The sequence below is a fragment of the Homo sapiens genome, chromosome 12, assembly GCF_000001405.40.
Source record: "Homo sapiens chromosome 12, GRCh38.p14 Primary Assembly".
Lineage (NCBI taxonomy): Eukaryota > Metazoa > Chordata > Mammalia > Primates > Hominidae > Homo > Homo sapiens.
In genome coordinates this window covers 7,867,030-7,887,506 of record NC_000012.12, presented here as the reverse complement: position 1 = coordinate 7,887,506, position 20,477 = coordinate 7,867,030, and the positions used below count along the sequence as shown (strand labels likewise).

At 45.6% G+C, this 20,477-nt stretch overlaps 1 protein-coding gene and 1 pseudogene across 6 annotated transcripts in view, besides 3 other annotated features; one reads left to right on the top strand and one right to left on the bottom strand.

Annotated features, from left to right (window-relative positions):
- Positions 1 to 20,477, top strand: part of SLC2A14 (solute carrier family 2 member 14) — a 78,683-nt gene that overhangs the window by 3,690 nt on the left and 54,516 nt on the right. For 2 of the 6 annotated variants that reach the window (NM_001286236.2, NM_001286234.2), the window contains exons 1-2: positions 14,592 to 14,700; positions 17,570 to 17,644. The exons of 1 other annotated variant lie outside the window; for it this stretch is intronic. Coding sequence is in view for 2 of the 5 variants with exons in the window: in NM_001286234.2 (NP_001273163.1) it covers positions 17,627 to 17,644 (18 nt within the window). In the remaining 3 variants the exon portion in view is untranslated. Of the gene's footprint in view, positions 1 to 14,591; positions 14,701 to 15,134; positions 15,397 to 15,558; positions 15,635 to 16,223; positions 16,329 to 16,444; positions 16,667 to 17,569; positions 17,645 to 20,477 lie in introns of those variants that run through there. 3 more of the 6 variants (NM_001286233.2, NM_001286235.2, NM_153449.4) reach the window with 3 other exon arrangements.
- Positions 5,427 to 6,011: an enhancer, noted in NCBI's record as "H3K27ac-H3K4me1 hESC enhancer chr12:8034092-8034676 (GRCh37/hg19 assembly coordinates)". NCBI's record gives its function as "activates a minimal SCP1, AML or CMV promoter by ChIP-STARR-seq in primed H9 embryonic stem cells {active_cell/tissue: H9 hESC(primed)}" and the evidence as "EXISTENCE:reporter gene assay evidence [ECO:0000049][PMID:30033119]".
- Positions 6,012 to 6,597: an enhancer, noted in NCBI's record as "H3K27ac-H3K4me1 hESC enhancer chr12:8033506-8034091 (GRCh37/hg19 assembly coordinates)". NCBI's record gives its function as "activates a minimal SCP1, AML or CMV promoter by ChIP-STARR-seq in naive H9 embryonic stem cells {active_cell/tissue: H9 hESC(naive)}" and the evidence as "EXISTENCE:reporter gene assay evidence [ECO:0000049][PMID:30033119]".
- Positions 14,397 to 15,077: an enhancer, noted in NCBI's record as "H3K27ac-H3K4me1 hESC enhancer chr12:8025026-8025706 (GRCh37/hg19 assembly coordinates)". NCBI's record gives its function as "activates a minimal SCP1, AML or CMV promoter by ChIP-STARR-seq in primed H9 embryonic stem cells {active_cell/tissue: H9 hESC(primed)}" and the evidence as "EXISTENCE:reporter gene assay evidence [ECO:0000049][PMID:30033119]".
- On the bottom strand, positions 15,837 to 16,686 carry LOC100130582 (myosin light chain 9 pseudogene; annotated as a pseudogene).

The following is a 20,477-nucleotide window of genomic DNA, read 5'->3' as shown; positions in this document are numbered from 1 at the left end:
TCATTTTTCACCTGTTTAATTTATTGTCTTGTCTGCAACCCTAGAAGAGTATGAATGGTTCATTCACCAGCATCCTCAGCACCACCTGGGAGCTTGTTAGAGATGCTAACTGATGGGCTTCACCACTGAATAGGAATCTTTGGTGGTAGGGATCAGGAATCTGTTTTAAAATTCTCCCTGTGATTTTTTTTTTTCATGACAGCCTACCATTGAAACCAGGTGATTTTTCTGAATGCTATTGTTTAAGAACTACTCTTCTAGAGAGAACCAGGCAAAAAGTAGGAAATCATTATTTGGCCGGGCGCGGTGGCTCATGCCTGTAATCCCAGCACTTTGGGAGGCTGAGGTTGGTGGATCACCAGAGGTCAGGAGTTGGAGACCAGCCTGGCCAACATGGTGAAACCCCATCTCTACTAAAAATACAAAAATTAGCCGGGCGTGGTGGTGGGTGCCTGTAATCCCAGCTACTCAGGAGGCTGAGGCAGGAGAATTGCTTGAACCTGGGAGGCGGAGGTTGCAGTGAGCCGAGATCGCGCCATTGCACTCCAGCCTGGGCTACAGAGCAAGACTCAGTCTCAAAAAAAAAAAAAAAAAGAAAATCATTATTTGTTGATGAAGGAATGGGCATAAATGAGAACTAGGGTTTTGTAAACAAATAGAGGGTAGGAGTCATTTCCTTACATTTAAATATTGAACTGCACATCAATGTGATATACAGAATAACTCTTGAAAATAACAGTGGTCATTGCCTTAGGTCCCCTACACTGACAATTCAATGAGCCTTGAACAATGAGTCTTTAATTCACAACTAACAGTCTTCCTTCCTTCCTCTGGGAGGTAGAGTTACTCTCCAATTACCAATGATGGAAAGATGAACACCATAACTACTGAAACTACTTAGTTTAGTTAGAGATTACAAATGGAATTATCAGCATATTCTTCACTATTTTGCCTATTTTACCCATAAAAACACAAAAAGAACCTTTTTATTATGAAAAATTTTAGCTAGCTGCAGTACTTCACGCACTCCCAGCAATTTGGGAGACTAAAGCAAGAGGACTGCTTTGAGCCCAGGTATTTGAGACCAGCCTGGGCAACAAAGAAAAACTCTGTCTCAAAATAAATAAATAAATAAATAAATAAATAAATAAATAAATAAATAAATTTTAAAAATTTAATTAGCTGGGCGAGGTGGCACATGCCTGTGGTCCCAGCTACTTGGGAGGCTGAGGTGGGAGGATCCTTTGAGCCCAGAAGGTCAAGGCTTCAGTGAGCCATGATTGCATCACTGCACTCCAGCCTCAGGGACAGCCTGACCTTGTCTCAAAAAAAAAAAAAAAAAAAAAAAAAAAAAAGCTGTCCGGGCGTGGTGGTACATGCCTGTAATCCCAGCTACTCAGGAGGCTGAGGCAGAGAACTGCTTGAACCTGGGAGGTGGGTGTTGCAGTGAGCTGAGATCGCACCACTGCACTCCAGCCTGAGCGACAGAGTGAGACTCCATCTCAAAAAAAAAAAAGAAGGAAAGAAAAGAAAAATTTCAAACTTACATAGTGAACAATACAATAAATCTTCACATATGTATCTATGAACCAGTTTAATTAACTTGCTCATGGCTGTTTCATCAATGACCTTACCATGAGAAGAAATTTTGAAGTGGAATAAAAGATTCAACTAACAGAAAAATATATGAGACACCATTGACTCCTTTTTCCACGATGAGCATCACTTATTGGGCTGGGCATCACACGAGACCTACTGAATAAGAATCTCGTAGGTGGGCCCAGAAATCTGTCCTTTATGAATCTCTGATTTTTGTTTGTTTGTTTGTCTGTTTACTTTTCTTTTTTCACTCCCCATGATATAGAGCTTGAAAGAATCTCTGATTTTTGTATATACTAAATTAGAGAAGCACTGCTCAGACTACGGTGCTTGGCAGCATGAAAAAAAAAAAACTTACCAATTTAACAAATTAATGAATCATTTCCAATAGCTAAAACATTAACATTCAGAAAATTGGAGAGTTACAAGAACTTTTTTTTTTGAGACGAAGTTTCGCTCTTGTTGCCCAGGCTGGAGTGCCATGGCATTATCTCGGCTCACTGCAACCTCCCTCTCCTGGATTCAAGCGATTCTCCCGCCTCAGCGTCCCGAGTAGCTGGGACTACTGGCGCCTGCCACCACCCCTGGCTAATTTGTGTATTTTTAGTAGAGATGGGGTTTTGCCATGTTGGCCAGGCTGGTTTCAAATGCCTGACCTCGTGATCTGCCCGCCTCGGCCTCCCGAAATGCTGTACAGGCGTGAGCCACCACACCTGGCTCTTTTTAGTTATTATTTTTTCTTTCCTATGGTGCTGGAAAAAAAAATTTCTGACTCATGGTTCAGCTTTGGATTTGTCAGATTGTACTCTAACTAAAGGCTTTTAATATTCAAGGACTGAATTACTATGTATACCAAATTCTAAGGTCTACTGGAGAGTTCAAAAGACTAAACCATCAAACTGCATTGTCAAAAATAGTCCTGATCGTTTTTTGGTTCCTGAAAAATATGAGGAAAAAAAAAATAGTCCTGACCTTGAACAATATTGTTGCCAGGGTATTTATGACTTCCTCTTTCCCACCCTACCCTCAGGGGATCTTTGACCCAATGTAAAAAGGGATTTATTTTTAACTCCTAGTAAGTCTAGCCCGCAGGGAGAGGAGAAACATCTAAGAATGCCTTCCAAAGTTTAACAAACAAAAATAGAACCTTGCTCTGGAACAGCATATTAACAGCCCAGAAGAGAATCGCCTTCTCAATTTCTCAGTAGGTGTTAGAGAAGGAGGAAGAACATGTGGGCAGAGTTGAGGAAGGTGAAGTGATGATGATGTTGAGAGAGAAGTCCAGCACCTATGACAATGCTATTATCTCGACCTTAGCTGTTGCTCCAGTTAGCTGATGTGGGATAAAATGAAGCTGTTGACCGTAATAATACAGCAACCAAATAGTGAATTATCTACGTAGTGAGTTATCCCAATTGATTGTTCAGGGTCAGTTACAGATCAAACTCCTTGTTCCACTCTTCCCCATCCCCCCACTACGGCACTTCACTAGTATTAAAAGCTTTTTACAAAAATAAATAAATATTATACTTAAAATATTGCAGGACATCAGAGTATTTCAGTTATTGCAAAGGGGTTGGAGGAAGAAGGAGCAAGAGGTCCCAGCCTCCAGGAGTAAATAAGTTTAATTATGTGAAAGAAAGAGTTCAAACTTATAGCACATAGTGTGATGTTGAAAAGGAAATTCAGGCTGGGCGCGGTGGCTCATGCCTGTAATCCCAGCACTTTGGGAGGCTGAGGCGGGCAGATCACGAGGTCAGATCAAGACCATCCTGGCTAACATGGTGAAACCCCGTTTCTACTAAAAATACAAAAAATTAGCCAGTTGTGGTGGCAGGCGCCTGTAGTCCCAGCTACTTGGGAGGCTGAGGCAGGAGAATGGCGTGAACCCGGGAAGCAGAGCTTGCAGTGAGCCGAGATTGTGCCACTGCACTCCAGCCTGGGCGACAGACCAAGGCTCCGCCTCAAACAAAAAAAAAGAAAGAAAGAAAGAAAAGTTAATTCAGATTTAAGAAAGCATTTGTGGGCCAGGCGTGGTGGCTCATGCCTGTAATCCCAGCAGTTTGGGAGGCCAAGGCAGGTAGAGCATGAGGTCAAGAGATCGAGACCATCTTGGCCAACATGGTGAAACCTTGTCTCTACTAAAAACACAAAAAATTAGCCCGGCGTGGTGGTGGGCGCCTGTAATCCCAACTACTCGGGAGACTGAGGCAGGAGAATGGCATGAACCTGGGAAGCAGAGGCTGTGAGCCGAGACTGCACTCCAGCCTGGTGACAGAGAGAGACCCCGTCTCAAAAAAAAAAAAAAAAAAAAAAAGAAAAGAAAAAGAAAAAGAAAAAGAGGCCGGGCGTGGTGGCTCATGCCTGTAATCTCAGCACTTTGGGAGGCCGAGGCAGGCGGATCATGAGGTCAGGAGATCAAGACCATCCTGGCTAACATGGTGAAACCCTGTCCCTACTAAAAATACAAAAAATCAGCCATGCATGGTGGCGGGCGCCTGTAATCCCAGCTACTCAGGAGACTGAGGCAAGAGAATGGCGTGAACCCAGGAGGCTGAGTTGCAGTGAGCCAAGATCACGCCCCTGCACTCCACCCTGGGAGACAAAGCAAGACTCCATCTCAAAAAAAAAAAAAAAAAAAAAAGAAAGAAAGAAAAAGAAAGCATTTGTGGTTTTGTTTGGTTTTGGATTGTTTTTTGAGACTGAGACTTGCTTTTGTCACCCAGACTGGAGTGCAATGGCATGATCTTGGCTCACTGCAACCTCTGACTTCTGGGTTCCAGCGATTCTCCCAACTCAGCCTACGGAGTAGCTGAGATTACAGGTGCCCACCACCATGTCCAGCTAATTTTTGTATTTTTAGTAGAGACAGGGTTTCACCATGTTGGCCAGGATGGTCTTGAACTCCTGACCTTGTGATCCGCCCACCTTGGCCTCCCGAAGTCCTGGGATTACAGGCACGAGCCACCACACCTAGCCAGGAGAGCATTTAAGAGTCTTAGTCCTTTTTTTTTTTTAAACTTGAATTGAGAAACAACTTCCAAGTGGTGAACAAGTCTCAAGCAAATTTTTTTGAGACAGCCTCACTCATCACCCAGGCTGGACTACAGTGGCCAGATCTCAGCTCACTGCAGCCTCTGCCTCCTGGGTTCAAGTGATTCTCCAGCCTCAGCTTCCCACGTAGCTGGGATTACAGGCGTGCGCCACTATGCTGGACTAACTTTCGTATTTTTAGTAGAGATGAGGTTTAGCCATGTTGACCAGGCTGGTCTTTAACCCCTGAGCTCAAGTGATCCACGTGCCTGCCTCAGCCTCCCAGAGTGCTGAGATCACAAGTGTGAGCCACTGCCGACGCTAGCCTCAAATAAATATCTTTTATTTTTCTTTGAGAGGTAAGTTTCGCTCCGTTGCCCAGGCTGGAGTGGAGGGGCGCTGTGTCAGGAATTGGGGGATTCTTGGTCTCACTGACTTCAAGAATGAAGCCATGGACCCTCGCGGTTAGTGTTACAGCTCTTAAATGTGGCGCATCTGGAGTTTGTTCCTTCTGATGTTCAGATGTGTTTGGACTTTTTTCCTTCTGGTGGGTTGGTGGTCTCCCTGACTCAGGAGTGAACCTGCAGACCTTCACGGTGAGTGTTACAGCTCTCTTAAGGCAACCCGTCTGGAATCGTTCGTTTCTCCCGGTGGGCTTCTGGTCTTACCGGCTTCAAAAGTAAAGCTACAGACTTTCACGGTGAGTGTTACAGCTCATAAAAGCAGTGCAGACCCAAAAACTGAGCAGCAACAAGACTTATTGCAAAGAAAAAAAGAACAAAGCCTCCAAGTGTAGAAAGGGAGGCCAACATGTTACCACTGCTGGCCCGGGCAGCCTGCTTTTATTCTCTTATCTGGCCCCACCCACATCCTGCTGATTGGTAGAGCCCAGTGGTCTGTTTTGACAGGGCGCTGATTGGTGCGTTTACAATCCCTGAGCTAGACACAAAAGTTATCCATGTCCCCATCACAGTAGCTAGATAGAGAGTGTCAATTGATGCATTCACAAACCCTGAGCTAGACACAGGGTGCTGATTGGTGTGTTTACAAACCTTGAGCTAGATACAGAGTGCCGATTGGTGTATTTACAATCCTTTAGCTAGACATAAAGGTTCTCCAAGTTCCAACTAGACTCAGGAGCCCAGCTGGCTTCACACAGTGGATCTTGCACTGGGGCTGGAGGTGGAGCTGTCTGCCAGTCCCGCACCCTGCGCCCACACTCCTCAGCCCTTGGGTGGTCGATGGGACTGGGCGCGTGGAGCAGGAGGCCGCGCTTGTCGGGGAGGCTCAGGAGCCCACGGAGGTGGAGCGGGGAGGCTCAGGCATGGCGGGCTGCAGGTCCTGAGCCCTGCCCCATGGGAAGGCAGCTAAGGCCTGGGGAGAAATCGAGTGCAGCGCCGGTGGGCCGGCACTGCTGGGGAACCCAGCACACCCTCCGCAGCCGCTGGCCCAGGTGCTAAATCCCTCATTGCCCGGGGCCACCAGGGCCGGCCGGCCGGCCGCTCCGAGTGCGGGGCCCGCCGAGCCCAAACCCACCCGGAACTCGTGCTGGCCCGCAAGCACCGCGCGCAGCCGGGTTCCCGCCCGCGCCTCTCCCTCCACACCTCCCGCAAGCTGAGGGAGCTGGCTCCGGCCTAGGCCAGCCCAGGAAGGGGCTCCCATAGTGCAGCAGGGGGCTGAAGGGCTCCTCACGTGCCGCCAAAGTGGGAGCCCAGGCAGAGGAAGTGCCGAGAGCGAGCGAGGGCTGTGAGGACTGCCAGCACGCTGTCACCTCTCAGTGCGATTTCGGCTTACTGCAACCTCCGCCTCCCGGGTTCACGCCATTCTCCTGTGTCAGCCTCCTGAGTAGCTGGGACAACAGGCGCCTGCCACCACGCCAGTTAATTTTTTGTATTTTTAGTAGAGACGAGTTTCACCTTGTTGGTCAGGCTGGTCTCGAACTCTTGACCTCAGATGATCCACCCGCCTCAGCCTGGCAAAGTGCTGGGATTACAGGCGTGAGCCACCGCGCCTGGCCAATTTTTGTATTTTTAGTAGAGACAGGGTTTCAGTGTGTTGGCCAGGCTGGTCTTGAACTCCTGACCTTGTGATCCACCCGCCTCAGCCTCCCAAAGTGCAGGGATTACAAGCATGAGCCACTGCGCCCGGCCAATTTCTCTCTTTTTTTTTTTTTTTTTTTTTTTTGAGACCCAGCTAATGTTTGTATTTTTAGTAGAGACAGGGTTTCTCCATGTTGGCCAGGATGGTCTCGATCTCCTGACCTCGTGATCCATCCGCCTCAGTCTCCTAAAGTGCTGAGATTACAGGCATGGGCCACCACACCCAGCCTCAGTAGTAATCTTGATGGAATTCTGTTATCAATATTGATTAATATTGATTAATCAGTATTTTTTTTTTTTGAGACAAGAGTCTTGCTTTGTTGCCTAAGCTGGAGTGCAGTGGTGTGATCTTGGCTCACTACAACCTCCGCCTCCTGGGTTCAAGCGATTCTCCTGCCTCAGCTTTGATTTTTTGTGTGTGTTTTTGTTGTTGTTGTTGTTTCTTTTTAAAATATGTATTTATTTATTTATTTTTGAGACGGAGTTTTGCTCTTGTTGCCCAGGCTAGGGTGCAATGGCGCGATCTCGGCTCACTGCAACCTCCGCCTCCAGGTTCAAGCTGTTCTCCTGCCTTAGCCTCCCAAGTAGCTGGGATTACAGGCACGCTCCACTACACCTGGCTAATTTTGTATTTTTAGTAGAGATGGGGTTTCTCCATGTTGGTCAGGCTGGCTTGAACTCCCAACCTCAGGTGATCCACCCGCCTCGGCCTCCCAAAGTGCTGGGATTATAGGTGTGAGCCATGATGCCCGGCCTGTTGTTTCTTATTTTTTTGGAGATGTCACTCTGAGGCCTAGGCTGGAGTGCAGTGGTGCCATTTCGGGTCACTGCAACCTCCGCCTTCCAGGTTCAAATGATTCTCCTGTCTCTGGCTCCCTAGTAGCTGGGATTACAGGCAGGAACCACAATGTCTGGCTAATTTTTTGTATTTTTAGTAGAGATGGGGTTTCACCATGTTGGCCAGGCTGGTCTTGAACTCTTGGGCTCAAGTGTTCCTCCTGCTTTGCCCTCCCAAAGTGTTGGGATTACAGGCATGAGCCACTGTGCCTGGCCTAAAAAACTTGTTGTTATATTTTTTTTATTTATTTTTTGAGACAGAGTTTCACTCTTGTTGCCCAGGCTGGAGTGCAGTGGCGTGATCTTGGCTCACTGCAACCTCCACCTCCAGGGTTCAAGCGATTCTCCTGCCTTAGCCTCCCAAGTAGCTAGGATTACAGGCACCTGTCAGCATGCCTGGCTAATTTTTTTGTATTTTTAGTAGAGATGTAGTTTCCCTATGTTTGGCAGGCTGGCCTTGAACTCCTGACCTCAGTTGATCCGCTCCCCTTGGCCTACCAAAGTGCTGAGATTACAGGCATAAGCCATAGCACCTGGCCTCTTTTTTTGTTGTTGAGACATGGCCTTGCTCTGTCATCCAGGCTGGGGTGCAACTTTTGTTTTTTTTTGTTGTTGTTTGTTTTTTTTTGCAGAGTTGAGGTCTTGCTAGGTTTTCCAGGCTGGTCTGGAACTCCTGGCCTCAAGCTGAGGCAGACGTTAAAATAATAATAATAATGAGTACTGCATTTATTCACTCCAAGAAAAGTAAAAGCTAAGGCCCGGAATGTGGTAAGGCAAGGGTTAAAAAGAAAAGAAGAAGTTTTCCTATGTAAGCAGCTCACTTCAAGGACAGTTATAAGATAATGCTGTCTGAAAAGCCAAGGCCAAAGGAATGGGCTTCAGACACCCCTACTTTCTAGAGTAAGGTTGAGGAAAAAAAAGAAAGACAAATTGTTTTTTTTTTTTTTTTTTTTTTTTTTTTTGAGACGGACTCTTGCTGTGTCGCCCAGGCTGGAGTGCAGTGGCAGGATCTCAGCTTACTGCAACCTCCGACTCCCTGGTTCAAGTGATTCTTCTGCCTCAGCCTCCTGAGTAGCTGGGATTACAGGCAGGTGCCAGCATGCCCAGCTAATTTTTGTATTTTTATTAGCAACAGGGTTTCACCATGTTGGCCAGGATGGTCTCAATCTCCTGACCTCGTGATCCGCCCACCTTGGCCTCCGAAAGTGCTGGGATTATCGCCCTGAGCCACCCCACCTGGCTCAATTTCCATATTAATACATTCATTTTACTTGAGAAAGATATTTCACTATGTTTTTATTTTTTTCTGGTAAAATGTTAGCAAGAGTACAAATATACACCCACAGTATATACTTTAACCATCTAAAAATCTTTAAAACTGGCTGGGCAGGGTGGCTCATGCCTGTAATCCCAGCGGTTTGGGAGGCCTAGGTGGGTAGATCTCTTGACGTTAGGAGTTCAAGACCAGCCTGGCCAACATGGTGAAACCCTGTCTCTACTAAAAATACAAAAATTCGCTAGGCATGGTGATGGGTGCCTGTAGTCCCAGCTACCCAGGAGACTGAGGCAGGAGAATCACTTGAACCCAGGGCTGGCACAGTGACTGACACCTGTGATCTCAGCACTTTGGGAGGCTGAGGCAGGCAGATTACCTGAGGTCAGGAGTTTGACACCAGCCTGGCCAACATGATGAAACCCTGTCTGTACTAAAAATACAAAACTTAGCCAGGCGTGGTGGCTGCCACCTGTAGTCCCAGCAACCTGGGAGGCTGAGGCAAGAGGATTCCTTGAACCCAGGAGGCAGAGGTTGCCGTGAGCCAAGATCACGCCATTGCACTCCAGCCTGGGCGACAAGAGTGAAACTCTGTCTCAAAAAAATAAAAAATAAAAAACAATAAGGCCGGGCATGGTGGCTCACGCCTGTAATCCCAGCACTTTTGGAGGCTGAGGCAGGCATATCACGAGCTCAGGAGTTCGAGACCAGCCTAACCAACATAGTGAAGCCCCTTCTCTACTAAAAATACAAAAATTAGCTGGGCATGATGGCATGTGCCTGTAATCCCAGCTACTTGGTAGGCTGGTGCAAGAGAATTGCTTGAACCCGGGAGGTGGAGGTTGTAGTGAACTGCACTCCAGCTTGGCCAACTAAGTGAGACTTCATCTCTAAATAAATAAATAAATAGAATTTAAAACAAAAATGTAAAACAATTTTTTTGCTGGGTTTGGTGACTCACGACTGTAATCCCACCACTTTGGGAGGCCGAGGCGGGCGGATCACCCGAGGTCAAGAATTTCAGACCAGACTGGCCAACGTGGTGAACTCCACCTCTACTAAAAATGCAAAAATTAGCTGGACGTGATGCCCTGTGCCTGTATTCCCAGCAACTCCAGAGGCTGAGACAAGATAATCTCTTGAACTTGGGAGGTGGAGGTTGCAGTAAGCCAAGATCTCACCATTGCATTCTAGCCCGGGCAACAAGGGCAAAACTCCCTCTCAAAAAAAAAAGAAAAAATTTTGTACTCTCTCTCCTAAGCCCAGGAGGTTGACGCTGCAGTGATCTGTGATCATGCTGCTGCACTCCAGCCTAGGTAACAGAGCAAGACCTTGTGTTAACAAAATTTTAAAATATTATTCAGCTTTGGCCAGACATGGTGGCTCACGCCTGTAGCCCTAGCACTTTGGGAGGCCGAGGCGGGTGGATCACCTGAGGTCAGGAGTTCAAGACCAGCCTGGCCAACATTGTGAAACCCTGTCTCTACTGAAAATACAAAAATTAGCCGAGTGGCATGCGCCTGTAATCCCAGCTCTTGGGAGGCTGAAGCTGGAGAATCATTTGAATCCGGGAGGCAGAGGTTGCAGTGAGCGGAGATTGTGCCACTGCACTGCAGCCTGGGTGACAGAGCGAGACTCCATATCAAAAAAAAAAAAAAAAGAAAAAAAATTATTCAGCTTTAAAAAACAAGATCTTGCCATTCACAGCAACATGGAGAATATCATGCTAATTGAAATAAGCCAGACAGAAAAAAAAATTATATGAACTCTCTTATATATGGGATATGGGAACAGTCAAATACGTATATTAGCCTCCTGAGTAGCTGGGACTACAGGCGTATGCCACCATACTCGCCTAATTTTTTTTTCTTTGCACCCAGAACTTTCCTGGCATCAGTGAGTTTTAAAATCTTTGACAGAGCTTAGGTCCCATTAAGTTGGCTAAGCTACTATTCATCTCTCCACAGACGTTTAGATTGTTTCCATATCTTGGCTATTGTGAATAATGCTGCAATGAATATGGGATGCAGTTATTTTTACAAGGTGCTGGTTTCATTTCCTTTGGATATATACCCAGAAGTGGAATTGCTGGATCATAGGGTAGTTCTGTTTTAATTTTTTGAGGAATCTTCCATACTGCTTTCCATAATGGCTGCACCAATTTACATTTCCACCAATGTAAACACTTTCTCTTTTCTCCACTTCAGCACCAACACTTGATTTGGGTGGCTGGGAAGTCCAAGATCAAGGCCCCAGCAAATTCACTGTCTGGGGAGGGCATGCTTCCAGGTTCACAGGTGACTGTACTCTTGCTGCGTCCTCACAAGGAGAAATCCAGGAGAGAGCTCCCTGTTGTCTCTCTTTTTTTTTTTTTTTTTTTTTTTTGAGATGGAGTTTTGCTCTGTCACCCAGGCTGGAGTGCAATGGCGCGATCTCGACTCACTGCAACCTCTGCCTCCCAGGTTCAAGCCATTCTCCTGCCTCCACCTCCCAGGTAGCTGGGACTACAGGCATGTGCCAGCATGCCTGGCTAATTTTTTTTGTATTTTTAGTAGAGATGGGTTTCACAATGCTGGCCAGGCAGGTCTCAAACTCCTGACCTCAAGTGATCTGCCCACCTCGGCCTCCCGAAGTGCTAGGATTACAGACATAAGCCACCGCACCCAGCTTGGTGTCTCTTTTTTTTTTCTGGGACGAAGTCTTGTTCTGTAGCCCAGGCTGGAGTGTAGTGGCACGATCTCAGCTCACTGCAACCTCCACCTCCTGGGTTCAAGAGAATCTCCTGCCTCAGCCTCCAGAGTACCTGGGATTACAGGCATGCGCCACTGCACCCGGCTAATTTTTTGTATTTTTAGTAGAGACGGGGTCTTTCACCATGTTGGCCAGGCTGGTCTTGAACGCCTGACCTCAGGTAATCCACCTGCTTCGGCCTTTCAAAGTGTTAGGATTACAGGCTTGAGCCACTGAGCCTGGCCCTGGTGTCTCTTTTATAAGTACACTAATCTCATTGATGAGACACCACTCTTATTACCTAATCACATTCCAAAGGCTCTATACCCTAATACCATCACACTGGGGTTTAGGATTTCAACATGTTAATATTGAGGGGGTAGAAACATTCAATTCATAGCAATAATTTTTTTTAATTTTTTTTTTTTGAAAGGGAGTCTCACTCTGTCACACAGGCTGGAGTGCAGTGGTGCAATCTTGGCTGACTGCAACCTCTGCCTCCCGGATTCATGCAATTTTCAGGCCTCATTCTCCCAAGTAGCTGGAATTGCAGGCGTGCATCACCATGCCCGGCTAATTTTTGTATTTTTAGTAGAGATGGGGTTTTGCCATGTTGGGCAGGCTGGCCTTGAACTCCTAGCCTCAGGTAATCTGCCTGCCTTGGTCTCCCAAAGAAATTATATATATATATATAAATATATAAAAATACATATATAAATATATAAATATAAATATATTTTAATATATTTATATATTATATATAATTAAATATATATATTTAATTTTAAATATAATATTTAAATATATTTAACTATTTAAATATAATATTTAAATATTTAAATTTAAATAGAATATTAAATATAATATTTAATATATAATTTATATATAAATATATATTTATATATGTATTTATATATAATTTTTATATATGTATTTATATATAATTTATATATAAATATATTTATATATAATTTATATATAAATATATTTATATATAAATTATATATAAATATATATTTATATATGTATTTATATATAATTTTTATATAAATATATATTTATATATGTATTTATATATAATTTATATATAAATACGTATTTATATATAATTTATATATAAATACGTATTTATATATTATTTATATATTTATATATTTATATATGTTTATATAGTTATATAAATATTTATATATATTTTTATATATTTTTTATATATTTATATACATATTTATATATATTTATATATATATTTATATATTTTTTTGAGATGGAATCTTGCTCTCTGGCCCAGGCTGGAGTGCAGTGGCGTGATCTCGGCTCACTGCAACCTCCACCTCCCGGGTTCAAGCAATTTTCCTGCCTCAGTCTCCGGAGTAGCTGGGATTACAGGCGCATGCCACCACGCCCGGCTAGTTTTTGTCTTTTCAGTAGAGACGGGGTTTCACCATGTTGGCCAGGCTGGTCTTGAACTCTTGATCTCATGATCCACCTGCCTCGGCCTCCCAAAGTGCTGGGATTACAGGCATGAGCCACTGCATCCTGCCTAAATATACTTTTAAAATACTGATTGCAAAGGCCAGGCTGAGATGAACATTTTAGTACCTACTTTTTGGTGAATATATGTATACATTTCTGTTGAGTGTATACCTAGGAGTGGAATTCTTGGATCGTGGGGTAGCCATATGTTCTAATAAATATTGCCAAACAATTTATCAATTTGTACCCCATTAACAAATGTGTGAGAGTTCTGAATGTTCCACATTCCCCAGGTTTGGCATTCACTTCCTTTTTTCTCCACACCCCAACTCCCATCTTTGTTTTAGTCATTCTAGTGGGCACGAATTGGTATCTCATGTAGTTTTAATGTGAAGTTCCCTGATCAACAATTCAGTTGCATGCCTTTTGACATGTTTATTGTTGACTGAGATATCCTCATTTAAGAAGTGCAGTATAGACCCTTTTAATGGCCCTTGTTTGCTATTGACTTGTCAACCCTGTACTGAAGGCCATGCTGTCGTGGTAAGGCTCCAGGTAATTCCAAGGTAAGCCTTATGCTTGGGCTAGGGGAGAACAATCTCTCCAAAACACCTTCGTGCTGTCTGCAGGGGCCTTACCCTGGATGGCACCAATGGGGCAGCAGGGGATGATCTTTATTACTCCAAAGCCGAAAACCTAGAGAGTCTTTTCCAGGAGGTGGAGAGAACGACCGCGGGGCTTTTCATCCAAAAAGAGCTCCTGAGTCTGAAATAACTGTTTTGTTTGTTTGTTTGTTTGTTTGTTTGTTTGTTTGTTTTTTGAGACGGAATCTTGAGCTGTTACCCAGGCTGGAGTGCAATGGCGGAGTTCAGCTCACTGTAACCTCCGCCTCCTGGGTTCAAGCGATTCTCCTGTCTCAGCCTCCCAAGCAGTTGGGACTATAGGAGCGCACCGCCAAGCCCCCTAATTTTGTTATTTTTAGTAAAGACTGGGTTTCGCCATGTTGGCCAGGCTGGTCTCGAACCCCTGACCTCAAGTTATCCGCTCTCCTCGGCCTCCAAAAGTGCTAGGATTACAGGTGTGAGCCACCGTGCGCGGCCCGAAATAACTCTTTACAGGATCTCGCCCTGGGCCTTCCCAGCCCAGCCGGCCCGCCCGCGGGGATAGCCCGGGCACTATCTCCCTGCTGCAGGCGGTGAGGGGCTCGGGTATCTTTGAAAATAGATACGTTCACACCCTCCTAACGGCGGCGCCAAGGGTGGTGGGTCCCAAAACTGTTTCCCCGTAAAGAGTTCCCCCGCCCGGTCGCAGGAAGACGCCTGAGGGGGCGCTCGGAGGGATCCCCAGCAGCCGCCGGGGCTGGACCGTGCGGTGCGCAGGTGAGAAGCCGGGAGGGGCCGGACAACCCCGACCGCGAGCCGGACCCCTGCTCTGACCGCAGGTGGGTGCTTGTCTTGCTTACGGAGGGCTCCCGATGAACCGAGTCACGTTTTGTAACCACATTAACGGACCATTCAAAGTCGAATCCTAGGCTTTTCGAGGCAGTTAGTGGGTCCCAACGGCTGCAGGCGGGGCCGGCGGGGGCGCAGCGGCCCGGGAGGTGCGTGGTTGAGCGAAGCCGCGGGGCCCAACCGCAGTCGCGGGGTCTGGGAGGTGGGTGCGCCGCGCCGTCCCTGCGGCCGGGGGGTGCGGGAATGAGGACCTGAGCTGGGGTAGAGGTGGCCGAGCTAGAGTAGAGGTGGGCGGCTACTCGGAGGTGGGCCGGGCTAAGAAAGAAGAGAGCTGCGGCTCTGGGAAACTAGCCTTGGAGCCTTGGAGAAGAGATTTGTGATTTACTGAGCACCTACTATGTCCTGGGCTCCGCTCTAGGTGCTGGGATCCCACAGCAAACGAAGCCACCCCAGCCCTTGCCTTGCTGGACTGTATATTCTAGGGAAGAGACAGACAAGAAAATGTATAGATACGTAACAAAATGCCGTAAATCTTCATGAATAAAAATGTAGTAGGGCTAGGGGAGTGGACTGTGAAGTTGGGAGTGGGGAAGGGGTCGGTCTGAGAGGCCTTTGTGAGGAAGTGTCTTTTGGCAGGAGACCTGAATGAAATGAGGGAGCCTTGGGAGCATGATCCAGGCGGAGGGAACTGGATTCGGGAGGAGGAACTGCCTTGGCCTTGAAAGATACCTACCAGGAGTTCAAGTGCTGTGCGGGTGCATCAGCTTTGTAGATTTGTGCAAGATGAAAATTGGAATTGTCTTAGGAAATTATGGATCATTCATTTATTCAGTGCTGGATTCATTCAGTGATTTATGTCTGAAGTGTGACAGAAGGGGAGTAAGGCCAAGTGTCCTTGGTAAAATACTGTTATTAGTTTTGTCCCAGTTTAATACACAGACTAAATTTAGAATTTCCATTGATTTTTAAGAAGAATTAATCTGAGTTAATTTTACAGATAAATAAATAGTACCTTACTTTTTTTTTCTTTTTCTTTTTTTTGTTTTTTTTCCATGCTCAGCCCTCTATTGGAGATTCTGCCTCCCCTGGGACAGATGGCTTCTTGAGCACACTCCCACGATGGGTGGCTGCTCTGGGTGGGTGTGCGCTGGTGTCTCAACAGGGTGTAGGGGAGGAGTCTAGTGTCCTGTCCTCTGAGAGGGGACTTTGGTGAACTTGTGTTTGGGTGGGGATGCATGTGAAATGGTATTGGATCTCAGGACTAAGGGTCCCTTCCTCCTGGGGGCACACAGGTTCCCTTCCTCCTTGGGGAGCAGCCCAGGAATGGCTGTCTTGGGGGCTTTCTCTCAGTACCTCCAGGTCCTGGAGGCCCATCTCTTCATAAGGCGGTCTTTCCCTGGAGGGGTCAGAGACTCCAGCCCAGGGCCCTAGGGTCACAGTGAGAACACCTGCCTCAGTCCTGCACTGCACTTCTCTTGGCGTGATTTCTCCACTGGGAGCTGGGACCCGAAGCCCTCAAAGGGAGGATCCCCTGAGAGAAGGTCGTGGGCAGAGAGCTGGTACAGACCAGTGTGTGCCGGGGGTGGGGAGATGACTGGCGGGGGGGCCAGGGTGTCGCGAGGGCTGGGGTGGCCTAGTCATCTTTGCCCTTGGCGCCATGTATGAGGATGCAGGTGAACTCCACCTAGTTGAACTTGTCTTTTTTTATCAATGGGTGCCTCCCAGTACATCTCATCCACTTCTTCATCTGTGAAGCTGTCACCCATGGTGGTGAGCAGCTCCTGGAGGTGGTCCTCATGAATGAAACCTGAGGATTCCTCGTTGAAGCAGGTGAAGGCGTTTTGGATCACATCCTGGGGGTCTGTTCCATTCAGCTTCTCCCCAAACATGGTGAGGGAAGTGGTGAAGTTGATGGGCCCTGGGGCCTCGCTCATCATGCCCTGCAGGTATTCATCCATGGGGTTCTTCCGCGGTGAAGCCAGCTTGTCGTGCTGTCCCCCTTGTCATTGAAGCCATCATGGTTCTGGTCAATCATGTTGAAAGCCTCCTTAAACTCCTGGATGTGGAACTGGTCGAACATCACGAAGACATTGGATGTGGCCCCTTGTGCTGTGGTCGCTTCTTGGTGGTCTTGGCTTTGGTCCACTTGCTGAACATTTTGGCTTCAGGTGGGTGGGGGCTTCACTGGGTTCTTGGAGCTGGGCTGACCATACTACTTTACTTTTTTTGAAAAGTATATTTATTTGAGTTAAAAGAGTTCTGAGGTTTTTTTTGGTTTGACTTTATTTGTTTTTTCCAAGTGTGAATGACCTAGAAGATAAGAACTAGCTGATACAGGAACAAAAACAGTGAGGCGCAGGGTGGGGAAGGTAGCAGAGAGAAATGAAAATGAAATAAGGAGGATGTGGAATAGTGGAAGGGACAGTCTGTCCTAATTCTCCTCCTCCTAATAGACTCAGGAAATAACACAGGTGTTCAACATAACGTATCTCAGCAGACCTTCAGAACTATCAGTCCAAGTCAGCAGAGCTGGTAGAGGAGGAAACAGACTCACATTTGGTAACTGGTTAAGCAGAATCACGACTTCCAACTTCACTGTGGCTCACTGAAGCAGTTTAGGCTAAGGTGATGCTATGAGGAGAGGTGGCTTGTTCTAAGTGTTTTAAATTTTATATGGCAAGGTAAACCACATTAAATCACAGAATTTTATGACAGCAAGATTACCTAATCCAATCCTTGCTCATTTTGCAGATGGGGAAACTGCTAGTTGGTGACAGAGAAACAACTCAAAATATAGGAGAGACATTTTTACCTTACCTTCAGCTGTCTCTCCCCAGAACCCTTATTTGAAAAAATGCTTCTCAATGGCTACTGAATGAGTAGAATAAACTTTGTTGAGGATCCCAGAATTGAGTTAATCTAAAACATCAATAGAATTATATAAATTTTCACTTTTCTTCCAGAAGTATTTATTGGAGTGTCCATTGGCGAGGGGGCTAAATCACAGCCTCTTCCCTCAAGGAGCTTAAGTAGATGGAGTAAATGAATAACTAGACAATTACAATTTACAGGAAGCAGTACCTTGAAGAGAAATTGGAGAGGGAGTCAATTCCTAGGATAGCAGAGAGATGGACAACAGACAGAATGTGAGTATTAAAACTGATGTCAGATATCAAATTGGTTTGTCAGAGTTATGTTGATAATCACAGTACCTATCATCTTCCTAAACTTTTCATGTCTTGATAATGTGTAATATACGTAAGTGGTGGTGGGAGAGACTGTTACAGCCAACAGACTTGGTACATTCCCAAAATCTTTTTATTCATAAGCAATTACTCTTTGCCATTTGCAGCCTTTTGTGCTTTAATATTATCAAGAACAAGACGAATGATAAAATATTTATGATCAGCATTGTAATTGCAAACAGGCCTCCGTAATAATCATATGCAACTGGTTTTGCGGGAATTTCCTTGGAAAGAACCATGGCTATATACGCGTGAAGAGTAACATAGAGTAATATATGAATGTACACAGTAATAATAACTTTTTCTAGAGCAGACTATAGAGTGTAACTGAGTCATTGTACTTGCATACTGTGATAAAGATCAAGAAAATGTATTCAGCAACATATGAGCCTTTGGATTGGGCTGGAGGGTAGGATAGGCAGCATCTGGTGGTTAAGTTACGTAATGCCTAATTTGCCACATGTGCTCACCTCTGGAAAGACTCACTAAACTTATTTTCTGGGAACTTACCCGCATCTTGAATGCTTTGCATCTCCAACTCCCAGATTTTTTCTGAACATTTTAATGTGACACTTAGAGAAGCAGAGCATACTTAGTCAACACTGTTTTTTTTTTTTTTGAGATGGAGTTTCACTCTTGTTGCCCAGGCTAGAGCGCAATGGTGTGATCTCGGCTCACCGCAACCTCCGCCTCCTGGGTTCAAACGATTCTTCTGCCTCAGCCTCCCGAGTAGCTGGGATTACAGGCATGAGCCACCATGCCCGGCTAATTTTGTATTTTTAGTAGAGATGGGGTTTCTCCATGTTGGTCAGGCTGGTCTTGAACTCCCGACCTCAGGTGATCTGCCCGCCTCGGCCTCCCAAAGTGCTGGGATTACAGGCTTGAGCCAACGAGCCCGGCATAATTTTTTTGTATTTTTGTAGAGACAGGGTTTCGCCATGTTGGCCAGACTGGTCTTGAACTCCTGATCTCTGGTGATCCACCTGCCTCGGCCTCCCAAAATGCTGGGATTACAGCCATGAGCGAGCCACTGTGCCTGACCAGACATATTCTTTTATTCAAGTATTTTTTCTCTAACAAAACAAGTTACAGGCTAATATGTAGCTTTTTTCTGGGAAGATGTAGTAGTTCTTCATGACTCATTTATTCACTGAAATATTTCTCGAGTAGCTATTATACTACAGGCACTCTTGGTGCCTATGACTACCCTGATAGAGAAGGAAGTGATAAATTCTAAGAAGAAAAATAAAGCAAGATAAAGGGATAGAAAATGGTGGAATGGACGGGGAGGATTTTGATTATTCTAAATACAGGCATACCTCAGAGATAGTGCAGGTTTGGTTCCAGACTGCTGAGAGAAAGCTAATATCCAATAAAGTGAGTCAGAAATACTTTGGCTTCCCAGTGCATATAAAAGTTATGTTACATTATACTGTTGTGTATTTCCTGTACAATAGCATTGTGTCTAAACAAAATGTATATACCTTAATTTAAAAATACCTTCTTGCTAAAAAATGCTAACAATCATCTGAGCCTTCAGCATGTCATAATCTTTTTGCCTCTGGAGGGTCTTGCCTCAGCATTGATGGCTGCCGACTGATCAGGGTTGTGGTTACTAAAGGCTGGGGTTGGCTGTAGCAATTTATTTAAGTAAGACAACAATGAAGTTTGCTGCATCTATTATAGACTCTTATTTTCACGAAGGAGTTCTCTGTAGCATGTGATGCTGTTTGATAGCATTTTAGCCAAGTAGAACTTCTTTCATAATTCGAGTCAGTTCTCTCACACTTTGTTACTGCTTTATTAACTAAATTTACGTAATATTTGAAATCCTTTGCTGTCATTTCAACAATATTCACAACACGTTTACTAGGAGTAGATTCCATGTCTAGAAACACTTCCTTTTTTTTTTTTTTTTTGAGACAGAGTCTCACTCTGTCACCCAGTCTGGAGTGCAGTGGAACGATCTCGGCTCACTGCAACCTCCACCTCCCAGGTTCAAGTGATTCTTCTGCCTCAGCCTCCCGAGTAGCTGGGACTACAGGCGCACGCCACCACACCCAGCTAATTTTTGTATTTTTAGTAGAGATGGGGTTTCACCATATTGGCCAGGCTGGTCTCAAACTCCTGACCTTGTGATCTGCCTGCCTCAGCCTCCCAAAGTGCTGGGATTACAGGTGTGAGCCACTGAGCCCAGCCAAGAACCACTTTCTTTGCTTATGCATAAGCAGCACCTCCTCATCCATTCAAGTTTTCTTATGAGATTGCAACAATTCAGTCTCATCTTCGGGTTCCACTTCTAATTCTAGTTCTCTTGCTATTTCTACCACATCTACAGTTACTTCCTCCACTTAAGTCTTGAACCCATCAAAGTCATCCATGATGGTTGGAATCAACTTCTTCCAAAGTTCTGTTAATGTTGACATTTTGACCTCCTCCCATGAATCACGAATGTTTTTTTTGTTTTTTTTTTTTTTTTTTTTGAGACGGAGTCTCCCTCTGTCGCCCAGGCTGGAGTGCAGTGGCACGAGATCTCCGCTCACTGCAAGCTCCGCCTCCTGGGTTCAAGCCATTCTCCTGCCTCAGCCTCCAGAGTAGCTGGGGCTACAGGCCCCCGCCACCACGCCCGGCTAATTTTTTGTGTTTTTAGTAGAGACGGGGTTTCACCGTGTTAGCCAGGATGGTCTCAATCTCCTGACCTTGTGATCCACCCGCCTCGGCCTCCCAAAGTGCT